Source organism: Homo sapiens, chromosome 9, assembly GCF_000001405.40.
Source record: "Homo sapiens chromosome 9, GRCh38.p14 Primary Assembly".
NCBI classification, from domain to species: Eukaryota; Metazoa; Chordata; class Mammalia; order Primates; family Hominidae; genus Homo; species Homo sapiens.
In genome coordinates this window covers 118,685,378-118,704,037 of record NC_000009.12, presented here as the reverse complement: position 1 = coordinate 118,704,037, position 18,660 = coordinate 118,685,378, and the positions used below count along the sequence as shown (strand labels likewise).

The 18,660-nt window shown below is 37.9% G+C and overlaps 2 long non-coding RNA genes across 8 annotated transcripts in view; one reads left to right on the top strand and one right to left on the bottom strand.

Annotated features, from left to right (window-relative positions):
- Positions 1–18,660, top strand: part of LOC102724929 (uncharacterized) — an 88,452-nt gene that overhangs the window by 28,721 nt on the left and 41,071 nt on the right. For 5 of the 7 annotated variants that reach the window (XR_428592.5, XR_930302.4, XR_930298.4 and 2 more), the window contains one exon: positions 16,035–16,275. This is a non-coding gene — a long non-coding RNA (uncharacterized LOC102724929). Of the gene's footprint in view, positions 1–2,334; positions 2,377–16,034; positions 16,276–18,660 lie in introns of those variants that run through there. The other 2 variants (XR_007061892.1, XR_930303.3) reach the window with 2 other exon arrangements.
- Positions 1–18,660, bottom strand: part of LINC02578 (long intergenic non-protein coding RNA 2578) — a 65,642-nt gene that overhangs the window by 41,275 nt on the left and 5,707 nt on the right. The window lies entirely within an intron of this gene.

Here is an 18,660-nt window from a genome sequence, read left to right as displayed (position 1 = left end):
AATGCAGGGAGATGAAGGAGGTTGATGAATCTAGAATTCTATGAGATTCAGGGAAAAATGACATCAAATGAAGTCAGAGATAGATTTTTTAAAAGACCTATGACAATTACCTAGGTCATAGTAAAATGCATGAGTTTTTATTCTAAAAAGAATGATAACACACATGGACTTTTTAACATTTAAATTTATATTTTAAATGATCCCTCTGGCTGTCTCATGAACAAAAGTGGAAAGAATGAAGGCAGATAAAACTACTAGTGAGGTATTGCAGTGGTCCATATGACAGGTGAGGATGACTTTTTTTTTTGAGACGGAGTCTTGCTTTGTCACCCGGGCTGGAGTGCAGTGGAGGGATCTCAGCTCACTGCAACCTCCACTTCCTGGGTTCAAGCAATTCTTCTGCCTCAGCTTCTTGATTAGCTGGGACTACAGGCACACACCACCATGCCCAGCTAATTTTTTGTATTTTTAGTAGAGATGAGGTTTCACCATGTTGGCCAGGCTGGTCTCAAACTCTTGACCTTGTGATCCACCCAGCTCGGCCTCCCAAAGTGCTGGGATTGCAGGTGTGAGCCACTGCACCTGGCCAGGTGACCATTACTTTCATATGGTGGTAGAAGTGGAGAATGGAAGAAGTAAATGAATGTGATATGGTTTTCTAAGTTATCATAGATAGAAATTGGTGATAAAATAAATGCAAGAGAAAAAATTAAAAAATCAAAACAATACCTAAATTTAGGGCACAGTGATTTACCGCGGAGAGTATTATTTCAAGAGAAGATTGGATTAGAAACGATGCTTGTATGTTTTGTTGGTGATGGTCACATACTGCAGCTGGACATAGTATAACTGCAACATTAAACATGAAAATAGCAATAGTGGCAACGCTTACATAGTACTATATGTCAAACATTCTCTGCATTTTACAGACACTGGCTGTCTTAATCTTCAAAACAACTTCATATGTGAGATATGACTAGTCTCTCCATTTGAAAAAAGAGGAAACCAAAGTAAAGAGAGTTAAAGTAACAAAGCTTAGAGCAAATAGCAAGTATCATGGAAGTGGAAATATGAACAAGGCAGTTATGTAGAGGAATCTGTAATTCAGACTGTAGCTCTGGGAATCTTAATTTGCGATATTTAAGGAATGGTTGAGATTTGATGTCTATGTAGAAAGATAGTATTACCAACAACAACAAAAATAGCCTTTAAGCTTTGGTAATATGATTGGTCAAACAATGTAAAGAAAAGATGGAAACAGGCCAGGTATGGTGGCTCATGCCTGTAATCCCACTACTTTGGGAGGCCAAGGAGGGCAGATCATGAAGTCAGGAGATGGAGACCATCCTGGTTAACACGGTGAAACTCCGACCGTACTAAAAGTAAAAAATTAAAAAAATTAGCCAGGCATGGTGGCATGCACCTGTAGTTCCAGCTACTCGGGAGACTGAGGCAGGAGAATTGCTTGAAGCTGGGAGGCAAAGGTTGCAGTGAGCTGAGATTGCGCCACTGCACTCCAGCCTGGGTGACAGAGCGAGACTCCGTCTCAAAAAAAAAAAAAAAAAAAAAAAAGAAAAGGCTTTAAGCTTTGTTAATTCGATTGGTCAAACAATGTAAAGAAAGATGGAAACAAATGAGTAGGCAAGTCTAGCTTCTGTGGTAAATTTATATTCTGTTATGTTGGAACATTTGGAAAATATAGGAAGGCTTCAGATTTTCTGGGCTTTGAATGCCAGGCTAAGTAGTTTTATTTTCTGTATGTATTCTGAAGTCTTAGAGAGCCTGTGAGAAAAAAAGTGGCAGCATAGAGTGGTACTTACAGATGACACATCAGGCAGTAGTAGGTGGAACAGTTAAGAGTACTAGTGAATAGAAGTTTTGAAATCATTTAAAAGGTAAGCACAATACCAAATTTCCTCCCAGGGACAAGGAATAAAAGAGCAGAGTAAACAATACATGATGTTAGCAAAAGGAGCATTGCAAGGGGCTGATGCATTCATTTTAGGAGAGCAGCCCAATGTCCCTGGGGATTCTGTCTCTCAAAGTGATATTTCTCCTTCATGCCTCCAATGTGTCCCTTCTATTTCACTTTCCTTGAGGATAGGTAATTTAAGAGCTGTTGGGATTTTGTCAAAGAAAACATTCTCAGTGTTTCAGATTCTCAACAAATGGGGTTGGATGAGAAATTTCAATCTGGCAGAGATATTATATAGTGTGTATAAATCTCTGCACATAGCGTTGAAGATCTAAAATATGCACATCAAAAATCTTCAACACCCAAAATCCATACTTCAGTGTCCAAGTAGTTACTGATAGTTCCTTTTTTTTTCTCAGTTAATTATCCTGTGGAGTGCTCTGAAGAATGTGGAGAGAAAAGTAAATAATATTTCTGATTGCCTTCTATCTTTTAGGCTGTATTAGGCATATTGCCCTACAAGTACCCTGAATGGTGATTAGATTGTTTATTTATCTCGCATAATTGACTTCTCTACTTATCTGAATTTACCATTAAACCACATGTTTCCTTGGGCTAAGAATCAAAGCTTGTATAACACTGACATTTGAGAACATGGGCCCAACAGCCATGTTTTCTGGGTTTAAGTTCCAACTTTCATTCTATAAATAGGTGTATAAACTTTGACAGATAATTTAACCAATCTGGGCTTAACTTCTTCATTCAAAACTAGAAAATGTAATAGAAATCATGATGAGGATTAAGAATTAATAAATTTAAGCTGCTTGTCTTATTTTGCATCAATAAATGTTATTATTGACATATCTCCCATATATAATTGGAGATCAATAAGTATTTGATGTCGGTATTGTTGGATATTGTGATGGTCTAATGTGGGTTGCTTAAGGAAGTGTTTTTGAAGGCTATGTGAAGCAGATCAAGACATGCTTAATGTAGTGTGGCTGTACTGAAATTGTATTGGTTGTTTTAGTGTACTTGTGTTGAAGGTGGGAGGCAAGTTCAAAGGAAAACAGGAATTCAGGTCCTAAAAAAGTGTGTGCAATGAAACAGTGTTCAATATATGACATTAATGAGTGACAAGGGGTGCTTAGTGCTCAAGTGTTCTATTCAAAGGTCCACGGAAATATTGTGAGACTTTGGAATTTATAACTAGAAACTCAAATATTGTTTAAAAACCATTATTTCTGGGCCAGGCATGGTGGCTCACACCTGTAATCCCAACGTTTTGGGAGGCTGAGATGAGAGGATCCCTTGAGCCTTGGAGTTGTGTAACATAACTCCAGATAGGTAACATAATGAGAACCCATCTCTATAAAAAATAAAAAATAGCCAGGTATGGTGCTGTGCACCTGTACTCCCAGCTAGTCAGGGAGCTAATGTGGAAGAAGTGCCTGAGCCCTGGAGGTTGAGGCTGCAGTGAGCCATTATCACAGCACTGCACTCCATCCTGGGTGACAGAGCTGAGACCCTATGTTAAAAAAAAAAAGATAAAAGAAATGGGACAACTTCTCACCTAAGATAGTAAAAGTGGTCCATAATTCAACAAAATGTACAGTTGGAGATTATGAAACACAAAGAGGAGCTTTTTTTTTTACATGAGTGCATGAAAAATATTTGTAATAGAAGCAAAGACAAACTAGAGAATTATGACATAACCTCAGAGACCATGAGGTGGGAAAGAATAAGCAAGCTTCAAGAAAGAGTTGTCAGAGGAGACTTAGCTTTATAAAGACAAGAGGAGAAGGAACATTTGGTGACAAGGTTCCTGATATAAAGGAGGCATTTATAATGGTGATTAGGTTATAACTGGCACAGAAATAAAGGTCAAGGAAATTTTCAGAAACTAGGAAGCATAGATTTTAAATGAAAGATTAAGGTAGGATGTGTAACTATATGTGTGTCTGTGTTGGAAGAGTAGAGATGGGTGAAAAGACTTACATTTTAATGGTGGACAAGGATGCTCAGGATGAGAGGCAAAACTGTGTCAACTGCACTTTTGATTTCAGGACAATTCGGCCTGAGAATCCAAATCCTTTTGAAAGCAATGAAGTGAATTTGCAAATTTCTAAAAAAAAATGAGAATTTGATGTGACAGAAAATGTATTATACATAATGGTAAAGTAACGGTTCAAAGTCCTCAAAATTAAATAGATATATAGGATGGATATAAACAATAAATAATTAGTTAACAGATATAGTTTAAGAGATTATTTAAAACAACCTTTCCAGAAGGCTTAGGATGTTGGTTAAGACTATGAATGAGCTTTGAAGAGAGGCTGCCTGGATTTGAGTTTCAGTTTCATCTTTTCACAAATATGGTGTCTTAGGGAAGTTAACTAAACCTTATGTTGCTTCTATAAGATGACTATAACAACAATAGTCATCTTATTGAAGTGTAAGACTTACACTTCTATAAGATGTGTAGAAGTATAGCTGTATAGATGTATAGAAGTATAACTCTTATACTTCAATAAGATGACTGTAACACATCTATAAGATGCCTATAGGGAGGCCAAGGTTTGCGGATCATGAGGTCAGGAGATCAAGACCATCCTGGCCAACATGGTGAAACCCCATCTCTACTAAAAATACAGAAAATTAGCTAGGCATTGTGGCGCATGCCTGTAATCCCAGCTACTTGGGAGGGTGAGGCAGGAGAATGGCAAGAACCAGGAAGTCAGAGGTTGCGGCGAGCTGAGATCGCTCCACTGCACTGCAGCCTGGTGACAGAGCGACACTCCGTCTTAAAAAAAAAAAAAATGACTATAACAACAATACTAACAAAATAAGAAATTTTATACTTATAAATTATTTAAAACAATTCTTGACAAATAGTAAATATAATTTACAAGAGTATTTGTTAAAACACACAAATGCCACAATTTATTTATTCATTCCTCTACTGAAGGACATCTTGATTGCTCCCCACTTCAATTCTGAATAAAGTTTATGCATTCATGTGCAGATTTTTGTGGGGATGTTTTCATCTCCTTTGGGTAAATATATAAAAACACAATTGCTGAATCATATGGTGAGAGTATGTTTAGTTTTGTAAGACACTCCCAAACTCTCTTTCAAAGTGTCTGTACCATTTTGCATTTCCAGTAGGAATGAATGACAGTTCCTGTTACTCCACATCCCCAACAGCATTTGGTATTATCTGTGTTCTGGCTATTGGTCATTCTAATAGATGTGTTGTGGTAACTCATTGTTGTTTTAATTTGCATATGATGTGGAATATCTTTTCATATGTTTACTTGCTATCTCTATATCCTCTTTGGTGAGGTATCTGTTAAGGTCTTCAGCCCATTTTTAATTTTTTTTTTATTTTACTTTTGAGTTTTAAGAGTTCTTTGTATATTTTGGATAAGAATCTTTTATCAGATGTGTCTTTTGCAAATATTTTCTTCTAGTCTGTGGCTTGTCTTCTCATTTTCTTTACATCTTTTGCAGAGCAAAAGTTCTTAATTTTAATAAAATTCAGATTGTCTATTATTTCTTTCATGAATTGTGCTTTGTGTGTTGTATTTCAAAAGCTACCCTCATATCCAAGGACATCTAAATTTTCTTCTATGATATCTTCTAGTAGTTTTCAAGTTTTGACTTTACACTTAGGTATATGATCCATTTTGAGTCAATTTTTGTGAAAATGGTTAGGTCTTAACCTTAAACCCAAAGGTATAGGTATTCAGAAGTGAGTCTTTGAGAGATGATTAAGCCATGACAGCAAAGCCCTCATGGATGGGATTAGTGATCTCATAAAAGGGCTTGAGGGGGAGAGTTTGTCTCCTTTTTTTTTTCTTTTGGCATGTGGATGTCCAGTTGTTCCAGCACCATTTGTTGAGAACATTATTTTTGTTCTGTTCCATCGTATTGCCTTTGCTCCTCTGTTCAAGAACCAGTTGACTAAGAGCTCTCTTTTCTGTTCCACTGGTCTATTTATCTATTTCATAAATACTGCACAGCCTTGACTAAAGTCACTTCATGGTAAGACTTGAAGTTAGGTAGTATCAGTCCTCCAAGTTTGTTCTCACTCAATATTGGATCAGCTATTCTGTGTGTTTTCCCTCTCCATCTAAGCTTGAGAATCAGTTGGTCAATATCTACAAAATAACTTACTGGAATTTTAAGTGGAATTGCGTTGAATCTATAGATCAAATTTGGAAGAACTGACATCTTGACCATATTGAATTGTCCTATCCATGAACATAAAATATTTCTCCATTTATTTAGTTCTCTGATTTCTTTTCTCCAATTTTTGTAGTTTTCCTCATATAGATCACATACATATTTATTAGATTTACACCTAAGTATTTCATTTTGGGGGTTATATCTGTGGTACACTTAGATAATGGAATATTATTCAATGCTAAAAAATAAATGAGCTATCAAGCTATGAAAAGACATGGAAGACCCTTGTGATGGTTAGTATTGTGTGTCAACTTGACACACATTGTTCCTGGGTGTGTCTGTGAGGGTGTTGCCAAAGGAGATTAACATTTGAGTCAGTGAACTAGGACAGCCAGACCCATCCTCAATCTGGGTGGGAACCATCTAATTAGCTGCCAGTGCAGCTAGGATAAAAACAGGCAGAGAAATGTGGAAGGACTATACTGGCTAAGTCTTCTGGCCTCCATCTTTCTCCCGTGCTGGATGCTTCCTGTCCTCAAACATCGGACTCCAAGTTGTTCAGCTTTTGGACACTTGGACCTACACCAGTGGTTTGCCAGGGGCTCTCCAGCCTTCAGCCACTCACTGAAGGCTGCACTGTTGGCTTTCCTACCTTTGAGGTTTTGGGACTCAGACTAGCTTCCTTGCTCCTCAGTTTGCAGATGGCCTATTGTGGGACTTGAGCTTGTGATCATATGAGTCAATACTCCTTAATAAACTCTCCTTTGTGTATACATTTATCCTATTAGTCCTGTCTCTTTAGAGAATCCTAATACAAATCTTAAATGCATATTACTAAGTGAAAGAAACCAAGATGAAAAGGCTGCATACTATATGATTCCAACAATATGACATTCTGGAGAATGTAAAACCATGGAAACAGTAAAAAGATAAGTGGTTGTGGTGGTTGGACAGTGGAAAGGAAAAATAGGCAGAGCACAGGTGATTTTTAGGGCAGATAACATAAATGATCTGTATGATATTAGAATTGTAAATACATGTCATTATACATTTGTTCAAACCCATATAATGTACAACACTAATATTAAACCCTAATATACACTATGAACTTTGAATGTTCATGGTGTCAACGACAGTTTAATTGTCATCAATGTACCACTCTGGCAGCAAGTGTTGATAATGAGGGAGGCCATACACGTGTGGGGTCAAGGGATATGTGGGAAATCTGTACACCTTCATCTCAATTTTGCTGGGAATCTAAAATTGATCGAATAAATAAAGTCTTTAATAATAATTTTAAAAAAATCCATACCACTATGGTTTGAATGGATGCGTCTTTTTAAAATTCCTGTGTTAGAACTTAAACCCAAAGGTGTTGGTATTCAGAAGTGAGCCTTTGAGAGATGATGAAGCCATGATGGCAAAGCCCTCATGGATGGGACTAGCCCCCTTTAAAAGGGCTTGAGGAAGTGAGTTTGTTTCTTTTTGCCCCTCTGCCATTTGAGGACACAGTGTTTATCTCTTCTCCTCCAGAGGACTCAGCAAGACAGTTCCATGTTGAAGCAGAAAGCAAGTTCTTTCCAGACACCAAATCTACCAAAACCTTGACCTTGAACTCTACAGCCAATAGACCAATGAGAAAAATTTCTATTGTTTATGAATTATCTAGCCTAAAGTATATTTTTCTCATTGCCCTGATGGACTGAGACATTTACCAACTGTTTGACTTTGGGTAAATTATATAACTTCTATAAGACCCAGTTCTCATATTTATGACATAAAAATAGAAAAATATGTGCCTCACAAAGTGTGATGATTAAATAAAAATTAAATAAGATAGAGCAAGTAAAGCACATAATATAATACATTGCACATAGTGGTCACAGGGTATTTTTTATTACCTGTTACAACCTGATATAGTTTGGATATTTGTCCTCACTCAAATCTCATTTTGAAATACAATCTCCAATGCTGGAAGTGGGGCATAGTGAGAGGTGTTTGGATCATGGGGGTGGATCCCTCATGAATGGCTTGGGCCATCCTCTTGGTGATAAGCAAGCTCTTGCTCTGAGTTCACAGGAAATCTGGTTGTTTAAAAGTGTATGACATCTCTCGCCCTCACTGTCTCTTGCTGCTTCTTTCAACAAGTGATGTGCCTGTTGCCCTCACCTTCTGCCATGATTGAAAGCTCCCCAGGGCTTCACCGGAAGCCAAGCAGATGCCAGCATCATGCTTTCTATAAAGCCTACAGAACCTCTTTTCTGTAGGTTCTGTAGGTTTTCTGTAGGTTTAACAGCCAATTAAACCTCTTTTCTTTATAAATTACCCCGTCTCAGGTGTTTTTGTTTGTTTGTTTGTTTGTTTGAGACGATGTTTCGCTCTGTCGCCCAGGCTAGAGTGCAGTGGCGTGATCTCGGCTCGCCGAAAGCTCCGTCTCCCGGGTTCACGCCATTCTCCTGCCTCAGCCTTCCAAGTAGCTGGGACTACAGGCGCCCGCACGCCCGGCTAATTTTTTTGTATTTTTTAGTACAGACGGGGTTTCACTGTGTTAGCCAGGATAGTCTTGATCTCCTGACCTTGTGATCCGCCCGTCTCGGCCTCCGAAAGTGCTGGGATCACAGGCGTGAGCCACTGCACCCGGCCTCAGGTATTTCTTTAATAGCAATGCAAGAACGTCCTCATACAGTACCACTATAATAGCAACTATTTATAAAATCACAGCAATTATTTTGAATTTAAGGTTTTTAGACTTCATAAAAAGCACAAATTATCTGGAAGGAATTGCTTAATTAATAAACTTTAAAAATATTTTGCAGTATTTTATATTTTAATAAAAATTAAAGCTTCTTCCTCAGTTGATCATCTTTTCTCTTAACAATTCCTCATCGTATATTTATATGATAAAAAAGCATATCTAAACATATTAAATATAAAATAAACAATAACAAACATATTATTCTTAGCAGAAAGCAGGGTGCCATATTATTCTTAGCAGAAAGCAGGAAAGAGAAATCAATTCTGTTGTAACAGGGAGAGGGACTTTTAACTTTACAGACATTAAAAAGCTACTCAGGTGTACAGAAGGAGGTTATAGAATTCAATGAAACTAAGCACAGTATATATTTTGTACATAATGCATGCAAACAAAAATCAGAAGAAAACCAGTATTTATTTACCTTCTGCCATGAGAATGTGTTGCTCTTGACCAACATGATTGTCTGCATTTTCCCAACAGCTGAGTTTCTATAGGATATGCACTATGCCTTGGACACTCTTGTGGACTTACCTATCAAATTTCCTAAAATATAGGAGGCATTTAATAAATATTTGACAAATGTATGTGTTCATAAAGAAATCAACAGAAATCTAAAAACAAGTGACTACCTTATCCTCAGGGAATGGATAGAGAAAGTGAACATCACACATTTTTAAATCAAGATTGTATGTTTGTCACATACTAATCTGAAATATTTTGTAATTACTATGTCTAAGGCATTATTCACGAAGAAATTCTACTATTTAGTTGTCCTTTACCTCCTGTCTCTTTAATAAAAACTGAAGAACTGACCACAATTTTGCTACTGTTTATGATTTTTGTATTAGAAGACAAAAGGGGGCTCCTTCTTCCCTTATGAGACCAAATTCTCAAAACTATTTTTGCTACCCCATATGTAAATTTTACTTCCTCCAATGTGCCTTGATGCATTTACAATGACAACACTGTCAGTCTCATTTTCCCATTCTTTCATAATTGTCTGAGTACCTCCTCTAATATCTTCTATTTGTTAGTCATTGATAATTACCTGCCCCCACCCCTCATTTTTTTCATCTGTATAATATCAATGTCTGCTTCAGAAGGTCTTTTTATACTTTCTGGGGTGTCAATTTTTGAATTCTGCAAAAGTAATTAAGATTTTCCCTAGTCCTCTTTTTAGTGCATTTTCTTCATTTTAAAATCGGTTGTTAAAATTCAAGATGTCTTGTAACAACCCTTCCTGCAATTAAGAGACAGACGTGTGTCTGGATGTTTTAGTAGGAGAAAAAAAATCATTCAGCAAACAGCTGTGGTTCAGAAAAGAGCAATTCTGTGTTGTCCATGGTGCTGAATGTGATTTTCTGTGGGTATGGCAAGGCATTAATGGCTTGTCCAAGAATCCAAATAGAATTTGATTTTTACCAACCACATGAGCCAGTATGGAATGTGTAATAGAAAACTGAATGCATATAGATTAAAAGTAGAGTACATGTCATAGCATTAAAATATGACAATTTTATTCATTGTTTTCCCTCCATAATTGGAAATGTTTTAAGTAATACAAACAGATATAATGCTTGATTCCCATCATTTAGAAAGATGTTTCTTCATAAGTTTTGGGTGTTCAAATTTTCCTGTATTACTTAACCTATGATATTTCTTTCTTAGCTCATTACTTACTGGTCAAATAAAGCATAAATTAAAATAAATTTTATTTATTGCCAAGGCATTTGTTGAAGACCTAATATGCACAATGTCTTGTATGCCATATGTTTTCGCAATACATATTTAAGTGTTATAATACATGTCAATATCATTTATTTTAAAAGTTTACTTTTGTGGCGAAGGCATTTGGCTGCAACATCTTTAACTATATGTACAACTTCTTAGGCCTTGATGAATAAAGGGATATGAAATTCTAAGTGTTAGACTGGTCAGATTCTGACTTCAGCACTGAAGCAGAATGTGAAAGAGACTTTTTTAAAACTTATGCTAGTGGCTTGCCCATTGCTAGATAATCCTATCAGGATCTAGGGACAGAGAAAGATAGGATGGAGAGAAAGATTTAAATGCAATTGAATGCCTGAAATTTGTCTACAAAAGGGCAGATATGGCATGTGGATGCTCCAGTGAGATCAAGTGGTTTAAGGAACGTTCGATGACTGTTGGTGCATTACCCATGGGTTCTTTCACTTTGAATTATTCCACTATGAAATACTCGTCTGCTGGCTGCAGAGAGAGGATGACAGAGAGAAAAGAAACATGTTTGCCTTGTCTAAACTTTGTAGAGAGGCTGTCGCACATAGGGCAGGCTGTCTTCTCTCATTTGTGTGAACAGGCCCTAAATCACTCTTTTCAATTCACTGCCTCTTACTATGGAGACTGTAGTGCTTGGTTCTTCCACGATGCCATAGTTACAGAGGGCTCCCATGAAATGTTTCAGTAGGTGCATTGTAGGATTTCAACAAGCCCTCCCCTCCCAGCTATTCTACTAACTGTTACTTTCTGGACACATACACTCCACCAAACTAACAAAACTCAGAGTAGCATTGGCAGTAAAATTCTCATGAAATTTGAATGTGCTAATTAACATCTACCAGTGTTAACATGTGGGATTGACCTCTGTGAACCTTACAATTAACACCTTTCTCAAGAGTCTATTCTGAGTATGCATTTTCTTTGGACTTCACACCCTGACCTTTTTCTTGTATCTTATCGGTGCAGTTTATGAAGTAATCCTTTTCCCTGTTGTTAAAAGCGAGTGCTCAAGTCACAGAGTTGCATATCAGCACTCCAAATCACCATATGCATGACCTACCCCAAAGATTCTCACTGAGTGAGACTTTGGCAAATTTAGCAGGGTGATTCTAGCTTGTACTGTACAAGTCATTCATTGCAGAGAATTTAGAATTTTTGGTTCCCCAATATTAATTTCCTATTGAATAGTAGTAGCATAACTATGGAGAAGGCACCCTTATGCATTTCCAGATGCATTTGGGAGAGATTTACCACCTAAATTGACAGCCATTGATAACCCCTTCTTACAGTGAAACTAACTTATGAAATAACTACAAGGGTTGTAATTACAGCTCCAGTGTCCTGAATTCAATTCTTAAGTTGTCTTGGTCTCATGAGAGTAATATATAGAGGAGGTGAGTTTAGAAAAAAATAAAGTCAGTACAAAGTAGCCTCTGAATATTTAGATAGGTATGGTTATAATTTTTTTCATTTGTTAAATGTGTATAATTGCATCTGTCTTACCTAGAGTTGGGATTATTTTTCTCTTCAGTTAGGTTTATGTTTATGAGAAAAACACTATAAAATTCTAAGAACTATTACAAATAAAAATGTGTTAATTGATTTGATAAATTTTTAGAGTGTGTGCCAAAAGTATACTATTTTAATTCAGGAAGTTTTTTTATGCTTTATTTTATTGTTTCAAGTTTAAATCTCAAAAATTGGCTAAATACCTCTCTAAGCTGCTTGTTCAAACCAGTTACCACCAGAACTCATTTAGAAGAAAGAAGTACTTTGTAATGGATCTGAATGGAGTTTATGGTATCACGTTCTTAACAGACAGTTGTGCAGCCCTAGGCATGATCGACACAATTGGTGGGTGCTCTCTGGAGATCCCCTAAAGATACAATAAGTGGGATAAATGGGCAATGGAGAATGAAGTGAGTTGGAAAAGTGCCTGTTTGACTTAATAAATACTAGAAAGGAAAGATAGGGCAGGATTTATCTTCGACGAATAAATCTGATTTACTTGGACTGTATACACACATGCATGCATGTATTTTTGCACACATGCATGCACACACACGTGTGCACACACATGCTGCAATTTGTCTTTTACTTTAAATATATCAAGCCTTCTTGGGCTTTATTCTGACAGTAAGTTGACCCACCTTGACTTCAACTGTAGTTAAAGAAAACCCTACCTCATCCAGAGCATAATTTGTCTCTGTCTGTTGCTGTAAGAAGCCATATCTCTGGTATTTGATAGTCAACCAAAGAGAGAGAAGACAGCCTAAGGGTTCTCAAGCTGAAATTGCTTCCATGTAGAACTGTTTATCAATGTGCTCACTCCACTTTCTCAGCTCTTTTCTTCTGTGGCTTACTTTCATAATGCAAATACCTTCAAGCTACCCCTGGGAAACCTGAATGTCTGAATTTGATGCACTCTTATGCTAACCTGGTACCCTGTGTTCTTTTAATTAATATGTAATTGGAATTACCAATATTTAATGAAAAACGATTTGATGCTAAATACTTAACAGACATAATTTAATTTTTATAGCAAATCTATGAGGTAAGTATTGGTATCATTCTTATTTGATAATTGAAGGAACTAAGACCCACGGAGGCCAGTAGAGATAATAAAAAACCAGTCATAATAAAGGCAGAAACTGAGACTTAAGCAGAGTAACCCAGTTTTTCTTGATTTAAAAAATATTCCAGCTTTCTTAGGAATTAAATTCCAAATGGTATCTCCTCTCTTATTCCTATAATACCATGGCTTTCTACATTAAATTCAAAACCGTAGGTAATGCATCAAGAACATCAAGGCAAATATTGAATGTCTTCATTCAATATTTCTTGTTAATTCTAGGAAATTTTATACAATCAAATAAGTTCTGATTTCTGTCTATCCTAGTTCATGTCTATGCAGCCTCTTCTACCTCTAGGGAATCATCAGTATAAGCACTGGGCTTATTTGCAGCTCACAGTCTGCAGCTAAGAAATCTCGAGACTCAGGAATTATCTAGGCTCAGCCTGCCAGCACCACTGCATTCAACTCACTGAGGTCTGTATTTTGAAAGCGGTGGATTCCAGTTACTCTTCCTTCTTCTAGTCAACATTTTCAGTACTGTTGTGCTACATCTGGTTTATTTTGTTAGGAAAGGGAAGGGTCAGGGAGCTCTCTTGAGAGAGAATGTAGGGATTTATAACCCTAGATTCTGCAAGGGAAGGATAATATTTAACAAAAAGCAAACAATCAATAATGATAATTCCAATACCACTGCATCTTCAGAAAGTAAGATTTTTTTAGTAACTACATATTTGTAGAAAATGTTTAAATCATATCCTTTGATTGAATGTCAGATTCTTATCTGGGTAGGTCGAATCTAATTACATGGGTTCTTAAAAGTAGAGAATATTTGCTGACTGTGATAAGAAAGAGTTGTGACTATGGAAGAATGGTCAGAAAGATGCAGTATCATTGGCTTTGAAGATAGAAGAAGGGAGCCATAAACTAAGAAGTTAAGTGGTCTCTAGAAGCTGGAAAAAGCAAGGAGACAGATGTTCTGCTAGATCCAGATAGGAATACAGCCTTCCTGACTTCTTGATTTTAACCCAGTGAAAATCATATCACACTTCTGACCTATAAACTGTAGAATAACATGTTTGTGTTAATTTAAGTCACTGAGCTTATAGTATGTTTTATGACAGTTATGGAAATACAATAAAGTTGACTACTTAGACATCCAGACAAGCTGAAATCTATGCTAGATTTCCCAACTCAGGCTCTCTCTAGATGTCCTTATCTTTACTTTTTTTATGGCCCCTAAGGTGAGGTTTAGGTCTACTACAGTTTCTAAACAAAACTTGTCTGGGTAATGATGCTGCAGCCTTGATTCCATGAATGGTAAGGTTGTGATAACAGTCCTAAGTTTAAGTGCTGACATCGGCAAATCATAGACATTCCACATCCATTGTCCAAGAATGGCCTAGCCTGTAAGACTACACTTCTTGATTTGTGGAACAAATATCTATTTTATACCCACTATGTGCCATTGTTATGCTGATGCCAGGAATCCAGGAGAAAACAACATGTGGAGTTTATACCTTAGAACAAGGGTCAGCAATTGATGGCCCATGAATCAAATTCAGTCCACCACCTGTTTTTATAGTTTTCTATAATACAGGCATGTGTTATAAAAAAAAATTCATTCATTTATTTTCAATGCTGCTTCTATGGTAAAGGGGTAGAGTGGAGTAATAACAACACACACTGCATGGCCCACAAAGCCTATGATATGTATTATCCAGCCATATCTAGAAAAAGTTGGCTAATCCTCACTCTAGAGGGAAAACAGACAATGAAACAAATATGTACAGATATGAAGAGTATTACGAAGAAGCATAGGGTGCTCTGGAAGTACCTTAGGGTATGGAGATGACATTTAACCAAATCCGACGTAACTAACACTTGAGTTACAGGTCATCACACTGGCTTGGTATCCCCTGCTTTCAAGTGTCTCTACCCTCATTCTGTCAGATCATAGTTTCCTATCATTTAATGGAACCAGACAAACAAATATTCAAACAGAGAGACAGACAAGCATTATCATGACCTCAAGTGCCAGCTCTCCAACATCCTAGCTGTGTGGTGTTAAATAACGACATTAAATGGCTTCTGAGCTTCTTATTTCTAAAATGGTCATAATTTCTATAAGGATTGATTGGAAAACTATACAGCAGTAGCTTGATTGCATCAATGATCCCACTAAAGACATCTTTGTATCCACAGCCCCTGGTGTCTGGACCCACTCTGTAACCTTTTGTTCCCTCCTGTATTAATCAGAGTTCTCTAGAAGGACAGAACTAATAGGATAGATGTATATATAAAGGCAAGCTTATTAAGGAGTATTAACTCACACGAACACAAGGTCTCACAATAGGCCATCAGTAAGCTGAGGAGCAAGGAAGCCAGTCCGAGCGCCAAAGCTGAAGCACTTGGAGTCCAATGTTCAAGGGCAGCGTGGGAGGATGCATCCAGCAAGGAAGCATCCAGCATGGGAGAAAGATGGAAGCTGGGAGGCTAAGCCAGTCTAATCTCTCCACATTCTTCTGCCTGCTTTTTATTCTGGCTGTGCTGGCAGCTGATTAGATGGTGCCCACCCAGAATGAGGGTGGGTCTGCCTCTCCCAGTCCACTGACTCAAATGTTAATCTCTTTTGGCAACACCCTCACAGACACACCCAGGAACAATACTTTGCATCCTTCAATCCAATGAAGTTGACACTCAGTATTAACCATCACACCTCCCATGCTGACTTCTACCTTGGCCCTTTAACTTTCTTTGGTCAATGAAGACATAGAAAATGTCATACAAGGAGAGACTCCAAAATGTCCTCATGTGTTAATGCTTCCTCTTTTACTTCTCAGCCTTCCCCATGAGAACATGCCTAAGACAGACTGCTGAAGAAGGCGGCAAATGGAACAGCGCTGAATCAGCCTGGTCATCCCAGTCAAGCCTCCAGACATGTAAGCACCCTCCTCTGATCTGCAGAGCTGCCTGGCCCAAATACTGTTGACCACTCTTGAGTAAGCCCCACCAAGATCAGCTGAGAACAGTAGAACTGACCAGATGACTCTAACCTCATGAATAAATCCAAGTGTTTTTTTATTTGCCTCTGAGGTTTCATGGTTGATGTTTTCATATATATATATATATTTTTTGCAGCAGTTAACTGAAGCATACAGGAAATGGGATAAACAATGTGCCTAGCATGTACTCAATAAACGGTACCTCCTACCTTCCCAACACTGTCACCTGTATGATATAAATATCAGCAGGTGTCATTTCAGAGTATGCTGTCATTATTACACTGATTGGGGTGATGTTTCACTTCTCCTGGGTTTCCAGGTAACAGCATGCTTGCAAACACACACACACACACACACACACACACACACACACACACACACACAGTTAAATAAACTGTGGGTTTCACCATCTGCATTCTTAAATAAGTACCTGCCTGTTGCATTCTAAGGGGACCAAAGTCCCCTCCAAATCTCAACTTGCTTTCTCTTTAGGGCCCACTATATCTCACACATGCTCCTTTTCCCAGAAGAACTGAGCAAGCTACATCACGTCGGGGTCAGCACAGCCGGGCTTATGAATTAGGTCTGGAGATGGTTTCCAAAGAGACGTGTTATTAAAGAAACAATGCCTTTGTCTCAGCAGCAGGGCTAAGTGCTGTTTATTTCCAGATGCTTTCCTGGAACACAGGGAAAGGAGTGCAGCTGCACGTCATTCATGGAGTGGCTGAAGCAGGATGGGGACAACATTCAGAGGAAATGACCAGGCTCATTCAGGGGTGGGGACATGATGCAATTTGTTGTCCCTGAAAGAGAAAGACTCAGTTTCCTTCTTCATGGGTCTGCACCTGCTCCAAACTTCAACACTTTTTTGTTTGAATGACACCATCCATTTCTCCTTCACCTAATTGTCTAAGCTTTAGCAATTCTTAATTTATCCATATAAATATCTTCTTAATTCTTTTTTCTCACCCCTATATTATTCATTCTGATTAAAATAGTGGCTCTGAATACAGGCTCTGGAGAAAATCTGATTCAGTCAGAATCCATCTCCATTTGTTTTTGGACAAGCCTTCTTCAAAACTTGCTTTTCATTAGTGGAGATGGTGATGTGAGCCTGTAATCCCAGGTACTTGGGAGGCTGAGGCAGGAGGATCGCTTGAGCTCAGGGGTTCAAGTCTGCAGTGAGCCATGACTGAGCAACTGCTCTCCAGCCTGGGTGACAGGACAAGATCCTGTCTCAAAAAATAAAAGAAATAAAAAGGAAAAAATAAACTTGCTTTCCTTATAATGGCAGATATAAAAAATAGTGCTACATTATAGGTGTGTTTTACAAAATAAATAATTCAGAATTAAATGTTCATCTCAGTATTTGGCAAAGAGCAAGCAGTTAGTAAATATTTGTTCTTAACTATCATCACCATCATTTTATTATTATTGTTATTATTATCCTGGCTGAATCCTGGTGTTTGTTGGACTAAACATCTCACAGGTCTTCCGTTTGTCTATCTGAGTCCACCGTCCCTGTACTCACTATATAAGTCACCTTTCTGGCTTTCCAACTAGCCTCACCAGTTTCTCTGTCTTGCTCCTAATCTTTCTTCACTGGCCCATCATCTTTTTCTAGGATAACTTCTACTCTTTGTAACATCATGTGTTAGTTTCCTAGAGCTTCCACAACAAAGTGCCACAAACCTAGTGACTTAAACAACAGACGTTTAGTTTTTACACAGTTCTAGAGGCTGTAAGTTTGAAATTAAGGTAGTGACAGGGCCATGGACCCTCTGAAACTTTTAGGGAAATACTTCCTTGCCCCTTCCTACCTCCCGGGAGTTTGCCAGCAGTAGTCGGCAATGGTTGGCTTGTAGATGCATCATTCCAGTCCTACCATCTCAGGGAATTCTCCTTATATGTCTCTGTCTTCACAGGGCCATCTTCTTATAAGAACACCAGGTGTGTTGAGGCCCACTCTCCTCCAGTATGATCTCATCTTCACTAATCACATCTGCAATAATCCTATTTCCAAATAAGGTCTCATTTTGAGGTACTGGTAGTTTGGACTTCTAGATGTATTTAGGCAGGAAGGGGACAATCTAAAACATGGCTCTTCAGAACCCACCTCGGTTTACCTCTCAGGCCCTGTTCCTCGCCACTCCCTCCACACTCTTCTCTCTGGCTATAAGAGTATTTTTAGTGAGTTGATGATTCCATGCCCTCTCTGTTTCCTCAGAGCCTTTTCATAGGCTGTGTACTGTGGCTATCACATAGCCAATGCCCTCCCTTGGTTGATTTTCCACCTAAGGTTTACTTGTTCTTAAAATCTCAACTTGGTCATACCATGTATTATAAGAAGCCTGAACTAAACCCTCTGGGTAGTGTTAGGTATCCTTCTGTCATTCCTCTATGGCTTTTGAGGGGTTACTGCCTAATGGCACTTATTACGTGGCTTTCTAACACTTAATTACTT